Source organism: Homo sapiens, chromosome 14, assembly GCF_000001405.40.
Source record: "Homo sapiens chromosome 14, GRCh38.p14 Primary Assembly".
Classification (NCBI taxonomy): Eukaryota; Metazoa; Chordata; class Mammalia; order Primates; family Hominidae; genus Homo; species Homo sapiens.
In genome coordinates, this window is record NC_000014.9 from 93,234,557 (window position 1) to 93,251,922 (window position 17,366).

Consider the following 17,366-nt stretch of genomic DNA (forward strand, 5'->3'; position numbering starts at 1 on the left):
CTTCTCTCCAAGTGGGAGCATATGGATGCATTATTTTGTATACTGCTTCTTTCACTTCATTTATTCTAAAGATCACATTCCCTCTTTTCTCAAGTTGTCCCAGCCTGGTCTTCTGTGCAGCACACTGCTGGTTTTCTTTCTGTCTGCTAGGCTGCCCTTGGCCAGCAACTCCCTCCAGCTGGCTTGGAAAGGTTGGAGTCCCCCAAGTTCATCATCCAGGCCCTCTTTCATCTTCCTTTAAACCTTTCCCCTAATCACACCATCTACTCCTAAGGCTGTAAGTGCCACCCATATATGTGGACAACCCCCACACAGCCTCCAGCTAGAATCCTTTCCTCTGACTCCCAGCTGACACCTAGTTGCCACCTAGTAGTTGGCTGCCTGGCAATCATTCCCGCGTCAACATGACCAACACTAACGCCATCTTCCCCCCAGAGCTGGCTCCCCCTCCTTTCCCACACTGAGCAAGCACCTAGTCACGCAGACACGGCACCGTCAGCAGATTCCGAATCTGTTCTCTTTGTTGGCTGCTTGCAGCTCTCCCCTGGACGGCTACGGCAGCCTCCCGTCTGGACCTCTCAATCTACTCCTGCTTCTTTTCAACCACTTCCCATGCAATAGCCAGAGTGATTTGGAACATGCAAATCTGGTGAACCACCCCAGCCCTAGTAGCTTTTGAGTTGCCATTATAGCCAACTTCAGAAGCCTCACCCTGCCCTAGGAGGGTCCCACACCCCCTCTCACTCCCCTGAGCTCTGTCCAGGCTTGGTCTCTCCATGGAGCCCTCCCTCCCCACTCCTCACCCTGTTGCTCGTCTCTTCCTTCACCTGCACCTTCAAGGTCACTCCCACACAAAGCCTTCCCACCCCTGGGACCAGTTAGACATCGAGCCTTACCTGTGTAGTTCTTCAATGTCTTTTCTTCTTGGAAACTCAAACAGTTTTTGAGTGGGACTGTGACTGTTTTGTTCATGACTCTGCTGTCTCAGCATCTAGCAATGTTCGGAAAAACGGACTGGATGAACAACTGATTGCCATCCTTGAACCTGCTTCCACCTGTTGCACATTAGAGTCCCCCCCACCCCGCCCGGACCACCGGACTTCCTGATGCGCAGAACAACACAACGGCTGAGGACTGGGGTTCTGGAGCCAGGCTACCTGGGTTTGAGCCCAAGTTCTGCCAACTTTCTAGCTGTGTGACCTTGGACAAGGTGCTCAGTATCTCCGGGCTTTTCTCTTTTGTAAAATGGCACAAATAATAGTACTTAATTCACAGAGGATCAAAGGAAGGAGTTCCTAACTCAATGAGGGATTAGAAAAGATTACATTGTTTAGTGTTAGTGCTGCTTCCAGCATTTCTCCTCCTGTTTTCATTCCTGGTCCATTTCAAGCTGGTCTTCCCCTTAGCTGTGATAACTGCCCTGTATTTTTTGTTTGTTTTGAGATGGAGTCTCACTCTGTTGCCAGGCTGGAGTGCAATGGCATGATCTCGGCTCACTGCACCCTCCGCCTCCCAGGTGCAAGCGATTCTCCTGCCTCAGCCTCCCGAGTAGCTGGGACTACAGGCACGCACCACCACGCCCACCTGATTTTTCTATTTTTAGTAGAGATGGGGTTTCACCATGTTGGTCTCAATCTCCTGACCTCATGATCCACCTGCCTCAGCCTCCCAAAGTGCTGGGATTACAGGCTCGAACCACCGCACCTGGCCTTGTTTTGTTTTTAGGACAAAAGTCATTTCCAGCTAGAGGTGAGTTTCTGAGACTGGGGTTCCTGTCTGTTTGGTCTGCTGCTCCATATTCCCAGACTCCGGGAGGAGTGGACTCAAGAAATATTCCCTAATGGATTGAGGAGAGGTAAAGCCTAAAGTGGCTTGGGAAGCTAGCCCGAGTTCATTTTTCCAGGAATAATCCACAAGTACAGAAATGAATGTTGATTTATTCAATTTTCTTGTTTAGATTTAAGAAGCTCACCCACAGAAACCTTAGATTTTATTTTATCTTTATACCCTTCTGTTAAACCTAAGATGGTTACAAACTATAAAGCAATAACTTGTTAGTAAGGCATGAAGAGTGAGATGCTAGGACAGAATTTGGCACTGAAATGATAAAAAACATTTTAAAGAGCTCGCTGGTTGCAGTGGCTCATGCCTATAATCCTAACATTTAGGGAGGCTGAGGTGGGAGCATCACTTGAGCCCAGGAGTTTGAGACCATCCTAGGTAACGTAGTGAGACCCCCTCCTCTGTCTCTACAAAAAATTTTAAAAATGAGCCAGGCATAGTGGTGTAACACTGACTGTAGCCCCAGCTACTCGGGAGGCTGAGGTGGGAGGATCATTTGAGCCTGGAAATTGAGGCTGTAGTGAGCTGTGATCACACCACTGCACTCCAGCCTGGGTGACAGAGCAAGACATTGTCTGAAAAATAAAAAACAAAATAAGAGCTCTTTTGTAGCAATTTTAAAAAATGGAAATTAGAAAACTTTCCATTTTGCGTTTTTTTTTTTTTTTTCCAGAATCCTAGACTCTAGACCATGATCTCATTTCCTTTTGAAATTGAAAATATTACTGAGCCTGGGTGTGAAAGCAAAGGCAAAGCTCAGAATCTAGGCCAGGTCTCTGACCCTCGAAGGGCCCTGAAGAGCAGGACACATCCAGGTGCCTGGTTCACGTGGGTGCCATGCTGAGCTTCCTGCAATCCTGAAGACCCCTGTGAGAGGAACTTTCCGCTCAAATTTGTAAAATAAAATTTCTCAGAAATGTCTCAATGAAATAATAGAAAATAATGAACTTGATGATTCAGAATAAAATGTGTGATTTCCGAGAAAACGATGATGATGATGATGATAAAATGCCTCTGAATGATTGAAATCCTAGAAACAGAGAAAATCAACCTAGAAAACCTCCCAATTCTACCCTCCAGGGGTGCAATGACTTCTATAATTGAAGACTGTATGCTCCACTGCTAAAACAGACTGTATCCAACTCAGCAGATTCTATACAAGCCATTTATTTGAAATGCCAACTATATGTAGGATAAAGTCAGTGTTACATGCTTATCAGTAACAGTAGAAAAATAGAAGCAGTGAAAACCTCTGTACAACTGTAATGGTACTCAAAAGAGAAATGTATCGTTTTACAATGCTTCACACAGACGAATTCAAGTTTGGAGGTACCTAAATAAAAATACTATATATTTCTTTAAAAATCACTATGTACAATTGAAGCGTAAACAAGTTTTACAAAGTACTGGTTATGCAGGTTGTAGAAAACACTTGCATAGGACATGAAATCAGTTTAAGAAAAATTTCTGAGCCTTTAGCATTGAAGGCACTTGACTTTATACCAGTAACAGCACAACCACAAGAAACGCAGTGTTGTAGATGATTTTCCACCTCTCTGAAGTACAGATGTGGTGCATACACAGCAAGGAGAGTTCAGGAACCTTTATCTCTCAGCCACCCCATCGAAGAGCAGGACTTGGTACCGCCTGCCCATGTAACCCAGATACAGTTACATGTAGGTACAGATGATGAAGCTTCCAGAGCTTATCTGATCTCTTAGACAGAACTCACATAAACACACAAATACAAGAGGTTATTTTCAAGACACACACTTGCAAGTAATCTTTCTATAGAAATGGCCACAGCATTATAATATTCAAAATATGGAAGATTGACAGTCTGAGGATTTTCTAGAGGAAAAAAAAATCAAAGGACTTGCCAAAAGGATAACTACATAACAGATATGACAATCTACAGGACAAAAAGACAACATGTCACCAAATATTGTTCATACAACAGCGTTAATGGAAAACAGTAAAACACCTTTTAGCAGTGTGCATGTTAAGTCTTTTAGTAAGATTATCTGTAATGAGGTTTGAAAGTAAATCACTTAGTAGACAAAGTAAACCACCACAGAACCAGGAATAGCACCCATCACTGCTGCTTTGTCACTCCAGAAAGCTGAAAGTCAACCGAACAATGAAAAAAAGTCAAAGAAGCATTTCCCTTTGAATTCAGTCCTAAAAATATGAATGCCTTATAATTAATTTCAAAATAAGTATCTTACAAGTGTTTCATGAAACATTGTTTTCCTAAAAGGCAAATTCAACATTATGAAAATATATATTTTGCCGGGTAGTTACTGAGAAATGTCAATCCTTTCAACTCTAGAGAATGATGCATGGAGGTCGGCTTTGAGCCCCACTGCCGCTGGCGCGTGTTTCCAATTTGCCTTCTGCATCGGCACCTTAATGCAGATGTACAAGGACTAAGCTCATTGCTAGAATGGCAACAACAAACCAAAACAAAAATCCAATGAAGGATGGCAGATGCAATAAAAAGTTTCTGAGGAAGCAAAAACAAGAATTAGTTAAGGCTTCATAAAGAATTCTATAAGAAGATTTAAATGTCAAGAATTCACTGAAAAGCCTCAAAGCCTAACGGGTTATTGCGGTGTCAGGCTAGCTGAGGTCTAGTGACATGTTCCCAGAAATAAAGCTAAAGGGGGCATGTGAGAACGGGCGTGGAAAATTGAAACAATTACGTTTCAAATACTTTTTGCCTTTCATGATGCTGTTTTTTCCTTAGGAGCCACGGGTGACTCTGAACTTCAATTATTCATCAAAATCACAAAACTAAAACAATAACATAAGAAAAAAGACCAACAGCATCTTTAAGAAACTTGAACGTCCTCTCGGCTCTAGCGTGTAAACGGTAGGTCTCTAACCTCAACGCACAGCGGGCACTGGAAGCGGTGATTGTCCAAAGGCCTGATTGTCCACGATCTCAAAAGGAGATCTGGTATTTTTGTGATTTGGTTCTCATTAAATTCCTATACCAAGTAAAATGCCAGTTCCCATGGCCTAAATTTTATTTTATATATATATATGCTTTTTTTTTTTTTCTGAGAGCAACCTTACTCAGACTTCACATTTATCTTAGTACAGCATTAAAAAAGATTTAATAGATGGGTTCAAAAGCCAGAGGCATGTAGCTCTTGAACCTACCCTAGTAACCATACTTCACAAGATACATTAAAAGTCCACTAACACCTAACCTAACGCACACAAAACCCACGCCTGTTTACCTTCTGCAAGTCGCATCGGTCCGCAATCCCACAGATTAAAGCAAGTTTTCCCTTTATACGCAAAGTTTTAGCCAGGTAAGCTATTGTATGATTAAAAGCAAACTTTATAAACTAAATAATCTTAGGAATAGTGGCCACTTACTTTTATATTTCAGGGATATGAGAGAATAGTTCATGAATTTTCAGAAAAATGAATGTGTGGGATCAACAGCTCTGGTCTAACATTTGCGGGGGGGGAAGGGTCAGGGATGAGAGTTTTTCTCCCCATCCAAATTAGGTCTGTTGAGTCTTACTTGCAGTACCGGCGCAGTACATGAACATGTCAACATACATATGTGGCAGAAACACACATCAAGGAACATGACGGCATTCACTTTTGTTTCTGAAGACAGACAGAGACTGGGCTTCAAAAGACACCGTCTTCTATTATGAGTCAAACTTCTTACAAATGAGAACAGAGGCCTATGCTTTTCTCTTTAAAAAAGGAGCCTCGAATGCGATGCACAGCCGACCTGCAGATTAGTGTTAACTCTGGGAGCTCGGGAGCGTGCACCACCACCAGTGTCACCGAGCGCACCCGCACAGCAGCTAACCAGTCAGGCAGCAGAACGAGTGGCGGCAGTTTGCCGGGGCGTGCAGACACACGACATGTTTCCCATCTTGGAGACTATCTACTGTTCGGCTTTTCTAAAATGTCAGATTATTCCTGAGTGTATATCCACAGGGTAAAGGAGGAAAAGACCGTAAGAGAAACTATAGTTTTGGGAGAAATCAGCGTTGTTGACACCCAATAGAAAACCTATTTACTTCAAAGTGCATGTAATTCATTTACCCGGTAGCTCATAAACGCTCCCTAGCCCTGCATAGTTTTCGAGTGAGTGTGAGTGATTCATAGTTTTTTATATATATACATACATAGAAAAGAGGATCCCAAATATCCTGCAGAGGAAGGAATGCTTAGAAAGCCTCTTTTCTTCTAAGTGCTACGGCTGTGTGTTTATGTGTTTGTAAAAATACAAAGTAAATGCTCAAATAATGTTGAAGTGATTTAAAAACTCAAATACTCATATATTTACATTGGAGAGTAAGAAAAAAAACAGTCCTTAGCTCACACATTGCCCTTCCAAGGGAGAGGATCCTGAAAGACCCCATGTGCTCAGTGGTTTAGTAAATGCCAAACCAGCGTCCCAGTGGAGTTCAAGTAGGACATGTAGTGTTTAACTGAAAACAATTTTTTTCCTTTTTTCTGTTGGTGAGAAAGCATTATGCATTACACAACACCAAAATTTAGACATATTTTGAAAATCGTTTAAAAGAAAACGTATCTTTACAAACACCAAATAACATCCATGAGACTGAAGCCCTTTTGTTTTTTTCCCATAGAGAGCAAGACAATTAAAGGCAGCAAGCAGTCAGTTCCGCCATCACAGCTGGAGAGTTGACGCTCAGAACCAGAAATTCTGTCAGTGTGACCTTTAAGTTACTTCTCTATTTCCACTGCCTTTTTTTTTTTTTTTGAGACAGGGTCTCACTGTTGCCCAGGTGGGAGCACAGTGGTGCAATCTTGGCTCACTGCAGTCTCAACCTCCCAGGCTCAAGCGATCCTGCCACCTCAGCCCCCCAAGTAGCTGGGACTACAGGCACGCACCACCACGCCTGGCTAGATTTTTTTTTTTTTGTATTTTTTATAGAAATGGAGTTTCGCCATGTTGCCCAGGCTGGTCTTGAACTCCTGAGCTTCAGTGATCTGCCCGCCTCGGCCTTCCGAAGTGCCGATCACAGGTGTGAGTCACTGCGCCCGGTCTCCACTGCTTTCTAATTCCAAGGGATGCGATCTGTTTAGAGCCTCATCTGGTGACTCTAATCCTTATGACCAGAATGTGCAGGGATTCTGACTGCATCCACACTGTGGAAATGTAACAGCTTTAGCCTGGGCACAGAAGGCTTTTCTCTTTCCTGTTCTTTCCTGAACCAGCAAACTTCAGGACCCTGACTGGACTCCCGCTGGAGGAATGAAGCCCAGCTCCTAGGACTTATTAAAAAAAAAATGACATTAGATTTATGGAGGCTGAGCGGGAAGATCTCTGAACTAAAACAATTACTGAAAAGAGAGGAGCATTCTGATGTGCTGTTCTTTGGAATTTCTATAATTAAAAAATAAACACAGAACTATTTCGTAAGAAAATACATCTTAGTGTGCAATCCAATGCACATGGATTGGTAGATGAAAGGTAAAATGCAAAAAAGTATGAAAATACAGTCCTTTAAATGTGGCAATAAAGTTTAACATACTGATATAAAATCAATACAGAGAAAATAAATGTACAAGTGCAAAAAAATTCCATCATTTGTAAAGAGAAATAAAAAGTGCCAGCCTGCTTGTTCTTAAAAATGCCTCCCGACATAATTGTTCAAAGACAAATTAGACAGATGCAACATTAAAAAAAAAAAACAAAACCTTCTTAGCATGCCATGTCTAATAAACACATATATACACAAAAACTAGAACAAAATCATGTGAAACCGAGTTATCAGCTGGCATTGATGAACTGGTCTGTAAGTTGTTGGGTTACATCATAAAATGGGATGTTTCACATCTCAGGCACAGACGACTTGGAGGTTGCTCTCAGAGGGCAGACTTTTTGTAGAGGAAGTCCGGCTTGCTTGGTGACCTCCTTCCTCTGCTTATTGAATCTTCCCTTTCCAAATCTGTATTTCTCTGAGCTCCATGGCCCAGGGACTCACTGTCTGCCAGTCTTCTACCGGATCTCTCTTCGGGAGCTTCAGAGCTACATGCAGAAAGTGAAGGTCTGTTAGGAGTCAGCCCAAAAGTCAAGTCAGTTTCTACTGCAGTTCGTCCCCTGACATGGGCTGGACCGGTACTAGCATTTTCTGGGGCTGCCAAAGGAAAGTCTGACCGCTGGGGAGGTTGCTCAACGACATCCAGGTGTATCGGCTCATTCTTTTGTCTGTGTAGATGCCCGTCAGGGGAAAGTGGATATTCTCTCCTAGCTTCTTCCTGTTTTTTAGGAGACGTCTGACCAGGTAGGTAGGCTGACTTTAAGCCACTTGGTGATGCCTTATTGTGGCTGTACAGATCGGGACCAAAATATCCACCTTGCGAAGGGGAAGGGGTGCGTCTGCTGAGAGCAGGAGTAGAAGGTCTGCAAGCAGCATTTGAGAAGTCATAGAAATCCGGATATTCCTGTGGATTTTCTCTGGTGTCTGTTTTTTGCTCTAGTGTGTGTTTTTTCCGAGAAGTGTGTGTATGTCTCTGTGGAATACACGACAGATGCTGGGGAGGCCCTGGTCCTGCTTCAGAAACTGACTGGCTTAATTCTGTGTCTACAGCAAGCTCTGGAAGCCTCCTGTCCTTGAGTGACAGTGTGGACACACCCACCGCGATGTCTGGCATCAGATCATTCAGCACAGGTTGTGTTCGCTGCAGACAGAGACAAAAATGGTGGGAGGGTTAAAAAAAGGACCCATCCTCTGTAGAAATGATGTTCACTGATTTTGTTTCCCAATTATAAAATTAACACATTCTGTTTTTGTTTTTTTTTTTGAGACAGAGTCTCGCTCTGTCGCCCGGGCTGGAGTGCAGTGGTGCGATCTCAGCTTACTGTAACCTCTGCCTCCCGGGTTCAAGTGATTCTCCTGCCTCAGCCTCCTGACTAGCTGGGATTACAGGTGCCCGCCACCACGCCCAGCTAATTTTTTGTATTTTTAGTGGAGACGGGGTTTCAATGTGTTAGCCAGGATGGTCTCGATCTCCTGACCTCGTGATCCGCTCACCTCGGCCTCCTAAAGTGCTGGGATTACAGGCGTGAGCCACCGCTCCTGGCTGAATTTGTAAGAATTATAAAAATACAGAAAGCTATAAAGGCAAAAAAATCACTCCAACCTTTTGAACAGAGATACCACTGTTAGCATTTTGAGGTCTTTCTTTTTATGCTTTTCTCCTTTGCATATATACTGATGAAATTTAGTACCTATATAATCTGTCACTAAATCTTTGAGATCACCATTTTAAATTATTATGTGACGTTCTACTGCATCAATGAACCATTACTTAATCATTCTGCTACTATTGGACATCTAGGTTGTTTACCATTTTTCATTATTATAGTCAAGACTGCAATGAACAGACAAATAAATTACCTTTAAAGGGAGTTTTATTTAAAATATAAAGTAGTAGAACTTTTGTAATTGTAGAACTGAGGGCCTGGCCCAACAGAATGGGAATCTGGTTTATCAAACATGACCAACCTTCGCCATTCTGGGGTGGGGGAAGCAGGGAGGGGAGGTAGAGAGGTCTAAGAAGGCGAGAAAGGCTTTCTGTGCTAACAGTGCCCCTGCAAACATGGTGAACCTTCCTAAAACCCATCGGACTTTCTGTCACAGTGTGGCACACACCAATCCCACAAAGTGACACAGTAGAGGAAGGGCAAGGATTCTCTGTATGCCCAGGGAAAGCAGCATGACAGGAAGCAGAGTGACTATGGTGGGCAGACTAGGCTGATTTTCCCGAAAAAGGGTAAAACTACAAAGACTGTGCTGAAGGTTGAGTGCGCTGAGCTCAACTGCAGATCTAAGAGGATGCTGGCTATTAAGAGATGCAAGCATGCTGAACCCAGAGAAGATAAGAAGAGAAAGGGACAATTGATCCAGTTGTAAGCATCATCTTTTGTTTCACGGTAAAGATAATAAAATCTTGAGGTTGGCCGGGCGCAGTGGCCCACGCCTGTAATCCCAGCATTTTGGGAGGCTGAGGCGGGTGGATCATGAGGGTAGGAGTTCGAGGCCAGCCTGACCAACATGGTGAAAACTCATCTCTACTAAAAATACAAAAATTAGCCGGGCGTGGTGGTGCGTGCCTGTAATCCCAGCTACTCAGGAGGCTGAGGCAGGAGGATTGCTTGAACCCGGGAGGCGGAGATTGCAGTGAGCCGAGATTGCACCACTGCACTCCAGCCTGGGCAACAGAGTGAGACTCTGTCTCTAAAATAAATAAAGAAATAAATGAATAAATAAATAAAATCTTGAGGTTATGTTAAAAAGAAAAGTTGAGAAAGGATCATAATTGGACTCAAGCTTCCAATAAGCCATATTTTAATGAAGCTTCCCTGAACTGACAGGTGAATCTTTTCTTCTAACTTGCTACTGATAGCATGTGACTGAGTATGAAGACTTACAAATCTTACAAATCTTTTTTTTTTTTTTTTTTTTTGAGACAGTCTCCCTCTGTCATCCAGGCTGCAGGGCAGTGGTTTGATCACAGCTCACTGCAGCCTCAACAACCTCCCAGGCTCAAGTGATTGTCCCACCTTAGCCCCATGAGTAGCTGGGACTACAGGCACGTGCTACCACACTTAGCTAATTCATTTGTTTATTTGGTAGAGTCAGGGTCTCACTATGTTTCCTAGGCTGGGTCTGAATTTCTGGGCTCAAGTGATCCTCCCACTTCAGCCTCCTAAAGTGTTGGGATTACAGGTGTGAGTCATGGCACCTGGCCAAAAAAAAAAAAAAAACTTTTTAAAGTATATTATACAAAATCTCTAATACAGTGCAAAATCAAGCAAAGAATCCTCTATCAATTTACTACCTACTAGCCCTGGCTACTATGATTCTAAGTGAAGTGGGGGCTCTGCTGATGAGCTTCAGAGGCAGAGGCATGCCTGAGGCCCTGAGGCCTCATTTTCTGCTCATCTTCTGAATGGGGAGTTTTTTCCACATTATTCCTGACGGTATACTGTACTTAGCTATAAGTAGCTCTTGCTTCTTGTCCGATTAAAGCATGTGGTAGAACAGTGGATTTTACAGAATAGTAGAAGTTAGGGACAAATTGTAGACCTGTGCTTGAACAGAACATGAAACTGGTATATTCCTTTATGTTGCTCAGTAACCCCATTCCTTCCTAATCCTGCCAAATGAACATAAAGATAAGAAGATACTCAACTCCTCCATATACACCTCTTGGTCTCTCTCCTCCTGTCTTTTCTCATTCAAGTACACTAGCGTTTTTCCCTCTTTTCCATACCCCTCAAGTCTATGCCTTCCACTTGTCAGCAATACTTCTGGGCACTGCTGAGTCCCAGTGGGGCTCTTGGGGCCAAGAAAATTGCTTCTAATTCTCCATAAACCGAATTTGAAGCAAGTTACTGAAGTGTTGACTTACCACTTGCTTCTCAGATGCTGCTGCTGCTGCTGCTGTTGCTGTTGAGGTGGTGGTGGCGGCAGCAGCAGCCACCGTCTGTCTGCCCAGTCCTGCAGTGCTGGTACAATCAGGCGGTGCAGCTTTCACACTCGGCAAGTAGACTGGGGGAGGGCCAGCTTTAGGAGCTGTTCTGGAGTGGAACAGCGAATGATTACAGGGATAAGAAAATGAACGTGAAGGGTGCTGACTGGGAGGTCTTTGCTTCCAGCCTGCTTTGAGTTGGTTATGGATTGGGGTAGCTGGGGGGTGGTAGGGAGGTGGTGGAGGGGGCAAGGGTGGATGGAAGGCCACAAAAGAGTCCAGATCTGTAAACATGGTTTCTGCAGGAGGTGTACTGTTTACGCGACATCTCCCAGGCTGTCTCATTGTCAAGAGTGGACTTTCATCCCCAAAACGTTCATCAGGAAAGAATTTGTGAGGATTCTAAAAAAGATTAAAAAAAAAAAAAAAGGACATTTATTAGCAGATTTCATAAGTGGAAATTTATAGGCTGAGAGAATTAAGTGAGGTACTTAAGAAAACCACAGTCAGCAAGAATAAAAAGCATAATATATTTTTCTAGGCCAGAAGCCCAAGAAAAAAATCACCTTAGTTATAGTACAAAGGCACAGAGTGCAGCCTAGGACACAGCCATGAAAGAAAGCTGCTTGATCGAATGCTCCTCAAGCAGGTCACTCATCTCAGATTATGTGATAATGCAAAAACTGGTAATAAAACCAAACTCTAATATGTCTTTGCTAAGAGATTAACATTAAATGCCAAAGGGAGAAAGGAATACAACTGAGGATGTTCTAGAAACTTTCTGACAAGACATCTATGCCTGCTCTGTCTGAAATAAAAACTACAAAATACTATTCATTACCCATTATACATGACTAAGTCTGACCAATATTTTGGTAAACATTATAAAAGAATATGTCATGCAATTTAAGGTACCAAATTCAGACACAATTTAGAATGGCAAAGGGAAAAGAAATGAGTAGAAAACCAGACTATATATTTTAAGGAGAAAAACTGTAGCAAAAAATGAAAATCAACAATCTAAAACAAGAACCTAAAAATGTTCAGTAGAAAATTAGGACAGCAGGGGGAAAAAGAAGAAAAAGAACCTAAAAGTGGTTTGCTGACTTGCTGAAGAACCCTATGCCATGTTTATTCATTCATTCATTCATTCTTTTTTTGAGACAGGGTCTCATTCTGTCACCCAGGCTGGAGTGCAGTGGTGCAATCATGGCTCACTGCAGCCCTGACCTTCTGGGCTCAAGTGATCTTCCCACCTAATCCTCCCGAGGAACCGGGACTACTGGCGCATACCACTATGCCTGGGTAATTTATTATATTTTTTGTAGAGATAGGGTTTTGCCATATTGCCCAGGCTAGTCTTAAACTCTTGAGCTCAAGTGATTCACCTGCCTAGGCCTCCCAAAGTGCTGGGATTACAGCCATTGTGTCCAGCCTATTCTTTTTTGTTTGTTTGTTTGTTTGTTTGTTTGTTTGTTTTTGAGACGGAGTCTTGCTCTGTCACCCAGGCTGGAGTGCAGTGGTGCAATCTTGGCTCACAGCAAACTCGGCCTCCCAGGTTCAAGCGATTCTCTTGCCTCAGCCTCCCGAGGCTGGGACTACAGGCCCACGCCACCACACCTGGCTGATGTTTGCATTTTTAGTACAGACAGGGTTTCACCATGTTGGCAAGGCTGGTCTCGAACTCCTGACCTCAAGTGATCCGCCCACCTTGGCATCCCAAAGAGTTGGGATTACAGGCGTGAGCCACTGCGCCCGGCCACATCCTATCCTTTTAAAGGGTACGGATTAAAGGGGTTTGGAGTTTGTAGCAAGAAAATGAATCACCTAACCAGATGAAATTAAATTTTATTTAAGGCTCTGATTTAGTGGCTGTGATCAGACTAGTTTACAAATTCTATCTTAATTGCAAAACCAGTGCTATTGCTTTTGTATCTAATAATTACTAGAAATGAGTTTTTTCTTTTTTCCTGGTAGGTTAAAAAAGAAAGCACTTACTGTTTGATTCTCATGCTTGGGTTTGAACCCTCATGAAAGAAATTTCTTATAAGATGGAAAACAGAAACGAAAGTGGGCATGTGAAAGGTGTGTAAGTGAGGAAGTAGACCAAACCTCAAACCTAGTGACCAAACAAGGAAGAGAGAGCAGTGGAAGTTCAGACTTTTCTACTTCCATGCCATCTCTGGGCATGCACACTGTGGAATTTTTTTAGCAGTCCCCACTTGTATGCTTGCTACATACCAGAAATATAGCTGCTGTACAATAGCACTCTGGATCTTCATAACAATTTATATTACAGGTAAAAGAGCTGTTGATGCCCAGGGTGGTTAAGTAACTCATTCCAAGTTAACCAACTAGTAAGCAGCAGAGCCGGGACTTAAACCCAGTTCTCATCCTAGGCCTCTGCTCAGTCCACTCCATGACGCTGCCTCTCACCAGGAGGGACTTGCAGGTTATCAAAGACACCAAAGGCAGTGAAAAAGCACATACGACGAAAAGGAAATAAGCCAAGGACTCGTCAGGATGCCCACAATACTGCCTGTCTGGTGACTGAGGCTCCCTATTTTAAACAGTTTAATGTCATTTCCTACCTGCAACAGCTCTGCAGCAGCATCTGCAAGACCAAACTCTCTTAGCACTCGAATCTGAATTTCATAGCTGACAGTGGCGCCTTCCCCGCAGTTCAGGGCATAGGCCCTCTGCACCTGCTCCGTGTGCCGCAGTTCCTGCAGTCGTCTGACCATGTCTTTCATAATGAGGAGACGAGGAACTGGAAGGAGAACAACAGTGGGCAAGCAAAATTCCTGAGCTACACAAAAGACGACCCCGTGAGCCCAAGGGAAAAAAGCATGTATTTCATACCAGAATCTTATAAGTTTTTAAGATAGTATCTTAATTTCCTGGGAACACATTCATTTATATATCTCTAATTATTTTTCAAGGTTTTAAAATTTCACTATGCCCAAAAGGCTCTTGATCATACTGAACAGCCCGAGTTGTATTATTTAGTTTACAGTTCAAATACAATTTTACTTGCATGTATTCTTGTCTGAATCTCAGGATATTTCAGAAGTCTTTAAATATATTCATTCTATTATTCAAATAATTTTTTGAGTCCTGACTATGCACCAGGGATTGGACTTGGATATTAGGGTGCACAGAATGAAACACGATTCCTCTTCTCAAAAGTTTCTGGCTTAGTGATATGAACTAAACCAGCAGTAAACAAATACAATATAGGGTCATAAATGTTCCTGGAGAGAAATATGCAAAGGACACTGAGGGACTGGAAGGGGCACCCAGCCAGACTGGGGACAGACAAGAAAGGCTTCAAGGTGTACACAGAGCAGATTCTTGAAGAATGAAAGGAAACCAGATAGGCAAAAAAAAAAAAAAAAAAAAAAAAAGCTGTCTCAGCAGAAGGACTGGGTATGTGTAAAACATGCTGAGACAGCCTGGCAGAAGTGGTTGGCATGGCCAGCAGAACTTAGGGTTCAGAGCTGTAAGCAGGAAGAGTGTGAAGAGAGGAGGCAGAAAGATGGCTACTGGCAGATCATGGATAAAGAATTTAAATTGTACCCTGTGCACAACAGGCAGTCACTTTTGCAGGAGGATGACAGGATCAGAGCTGTGAACAAGTGCATTCTGATGTTAACGTAAAATGGGCAGGCATGCTGTGACTGGTAGGCTAAATCAAGCTTGCTGTCTGCCTTTGTAAATAAAGTTTTATTGGAATGTAACTGTACCCATTCATTTACGTACTGTCTACGGCTGTTGTATGGGAGTTAAGTAGATAGAAGCAACAGAGACTGTATGGCCTACAGAGCCTAAAGTATTTACTATCTGCCCCTTTCTAGAAAAAGTATGCCGGCCGACAAGCTGGTGTAAAAGACAGAATTTTGAGTAAGATGAGAGGCGGGAACACGGGTTAGAAACCTGAAGTAGGGCTGTAGCTGTAGGGCTGGAGAGGGGATGGAGTCTATAAATATTTATGAAAGAAACTGACTAGAGCAGTGATTATTATTTTTTAGGGATAAAAGGAACTGGCATTTACTGAGTGCTTACTTTGTGCCAGGCAAACTCCTGTGCATATTACTCATGGTGCTTCATTAAATCCTCCTAATTCTTGAAAGGAGGTATGAGCCCCAATTCATGGATGAGGAAATTAATGTTCAGGAAAGAAAATATTAATACCATGTCCAAAGTCATACAAAGTAACAGAGCCAAGATATGAGCCCCCTAATCCTCTGCAACAAGCTATCCATCCTTTCATGAATGTGGTGTGCAAGGAAGTGAGAAGAACCCAGGATGATACCAGAACAGGACCATACCTCATTAGCTAAACAATAGAGAGACAAGCCTTATTTTTCTGAGCATACTTATTTGAGAATGTCTAGACCTCTGAGATTGAGTTCTAAGATTAAATTATGCTGATTTTGAACTGCATTAACTCAAGCCTAAAAAGCCAGGCTAATTAGCAAAGCTTCAAAATCTGCATAAATCAGCTAAAGAAATATTTCTTTTCATGCTGTTAACTAATGTATATTTCAAGTAAATATGCAGTGGCCAAATTTGATAAGGTAACAACTGAAGAAAGTCATTAGCTCCAGAATAAAATATATGTATTCAATTAAAAGTTCTGTCACTATGTCTTTTATTCATCTTTAATTACAGTAGACATTTATAAGCAGAAATAAATAGTGCTATTTCTATTGCTATAGTGTGCTGGTTTTTATTTTGAATCTTGCAATGGCAATTAGCAAGAGCTACAAGTTTCTGACCACCAGATCATTGTTGCTTTTTTTAGACTACTTTGGTTAAAGCCAACATTTACTGATGCTCAGACGTTTTTGGACATGACAGTTATATCCTGATCGATAGCCAATTCCCCTAAAGTCGTAAGACATAAACCTGTGCTACAGTAAACTTCACAGAGCAGAGCTTGGGAAATTGGATCTCTAGGAAACCCACAGTGATCACATTTTGGAAGGCCACAGACTCAAAGGTATAATAGACTAGGAAGGCCATAGACTTTAAGGTATGATAGTGCATTTGACCCTCCCAAAGGGTCTTGTAACCTGAGAAATACCCTATAGTGATAAAAAAAAATCTGAATTCCTCTAAACCAGTGGTTCTCAAAATGGGTGACTTTGTCCCACAGGGCACAACTGGCAATGTCTAGAAACATAAAAATGTTTCCAAAAGGTTTTCAGAGAGGTGTGCATGCATGCACATATGTGCTCCTAGCATTTATTGAGTACAGGCCAGGAATGCAGCTGACCACCCTACAAAGCACAGGACAGCTCTCCATTAACAGAATAATCCAGCCCCAAATGTCAGTAAGACCAAGGCTGAGAAACTCAAGGGTAAACTGATAAACTGTATACACTTAGTAATACAAAATAAAATATAAAGCAAAAGTTTTGGCTTAAAAGTGTTTATTCTTTAAGGAGAACAAGGCATAAAAAGTATTGAAATGTGGAGAGAATTAGCATATACAGAGAGGCTCAAACATCAGCAATTTCAAAAAAACAATAAATTATTCATTTAAATATAAACACCCAACATACTGCCTTACCTGGAATTTCGTTGGCTACAACTGAAGGAGGGCTTGACTGGTTGCTGCTGATCTGCTGGTGGCTGATCATGTGACAACACTGTGGCACGGCATTATTGACCATGTAGAGCGTGTCTGGCACATTGGACATTCTAACCATTCGCAAGCGCACAAGATCCGTTTGTTCCACCATCATCTCATCTAGCACTGACTGAAATAATCATTCAGTATTAACAAAACCAGTCAACCTTCCTCTGTTAAATCACATTTGAAGGAAGACTATTACTTTCATCAAATAAAAAGGGAATTAATTTATTTCTATTTTATAAATGTTAACATTAGTGGTGAAAGAAAGTTCCCCTACATCTTTAACTTTTAAAGACTCTTTTAGGAGCATCTTTGAAAAGACACAACCATCTTTTGAAAAGTCTGCTTTTAATTAGAAGTATTTGAAATGTGAAGGAAGGATATAAAATTAATC

General features: G+C 42.2%; 1 protein-coding gene and 1 pseudogene across 6 annotated transcripts in view; one reads left to right on the top strand and one right to left on the bottom strand.

Moving 5' to 3' along the window:
• Nucleotides 1–2,993: 2,993 nt before the first annotated feature.
• Nucleotides 2,994–17,366, bottom strand: part of BTBD7 (BTB domain containing 7) — a 95,487-nt gene continuing 81,114 nt past the window's right edge. For all 6 annotated transcript variants that reach the window (NM_001289133.2, NM_001002860.4, XM_011536939.3 and 3 more), the window contains 4 exons: nucleotides 16,907–17,096; nucleotides 13,920–14,098; nucleotides 11,269–11,730; nucleotides 2,994–8,532 (listed from right to left, as the gene is read on the bottom strand). In NM_001289133.2, the coding sequence (NP_001276062.1) occupies nucleotides 7,717–8,532; nucleotides 11,269–11,730; nucleotides 13,920–14,098; nucleotides 16,907–17,096 (1,647 nt within the window). In that variant the 3' untranslated portion in view covers nucleotides 2,994–7,716. The remainder of the gene's footprint in view (nucleotides 8,533–11,268; nucleotides 11,731–13,919; nucleotides 14,099–16,906; nucleotides 17,097–17,366) is intronic.
• Nucleotides 9,404–9,867, top strand: RPL36AP4 (ribosomal protein L36a pseudogene 4; annotated as a pseudogene).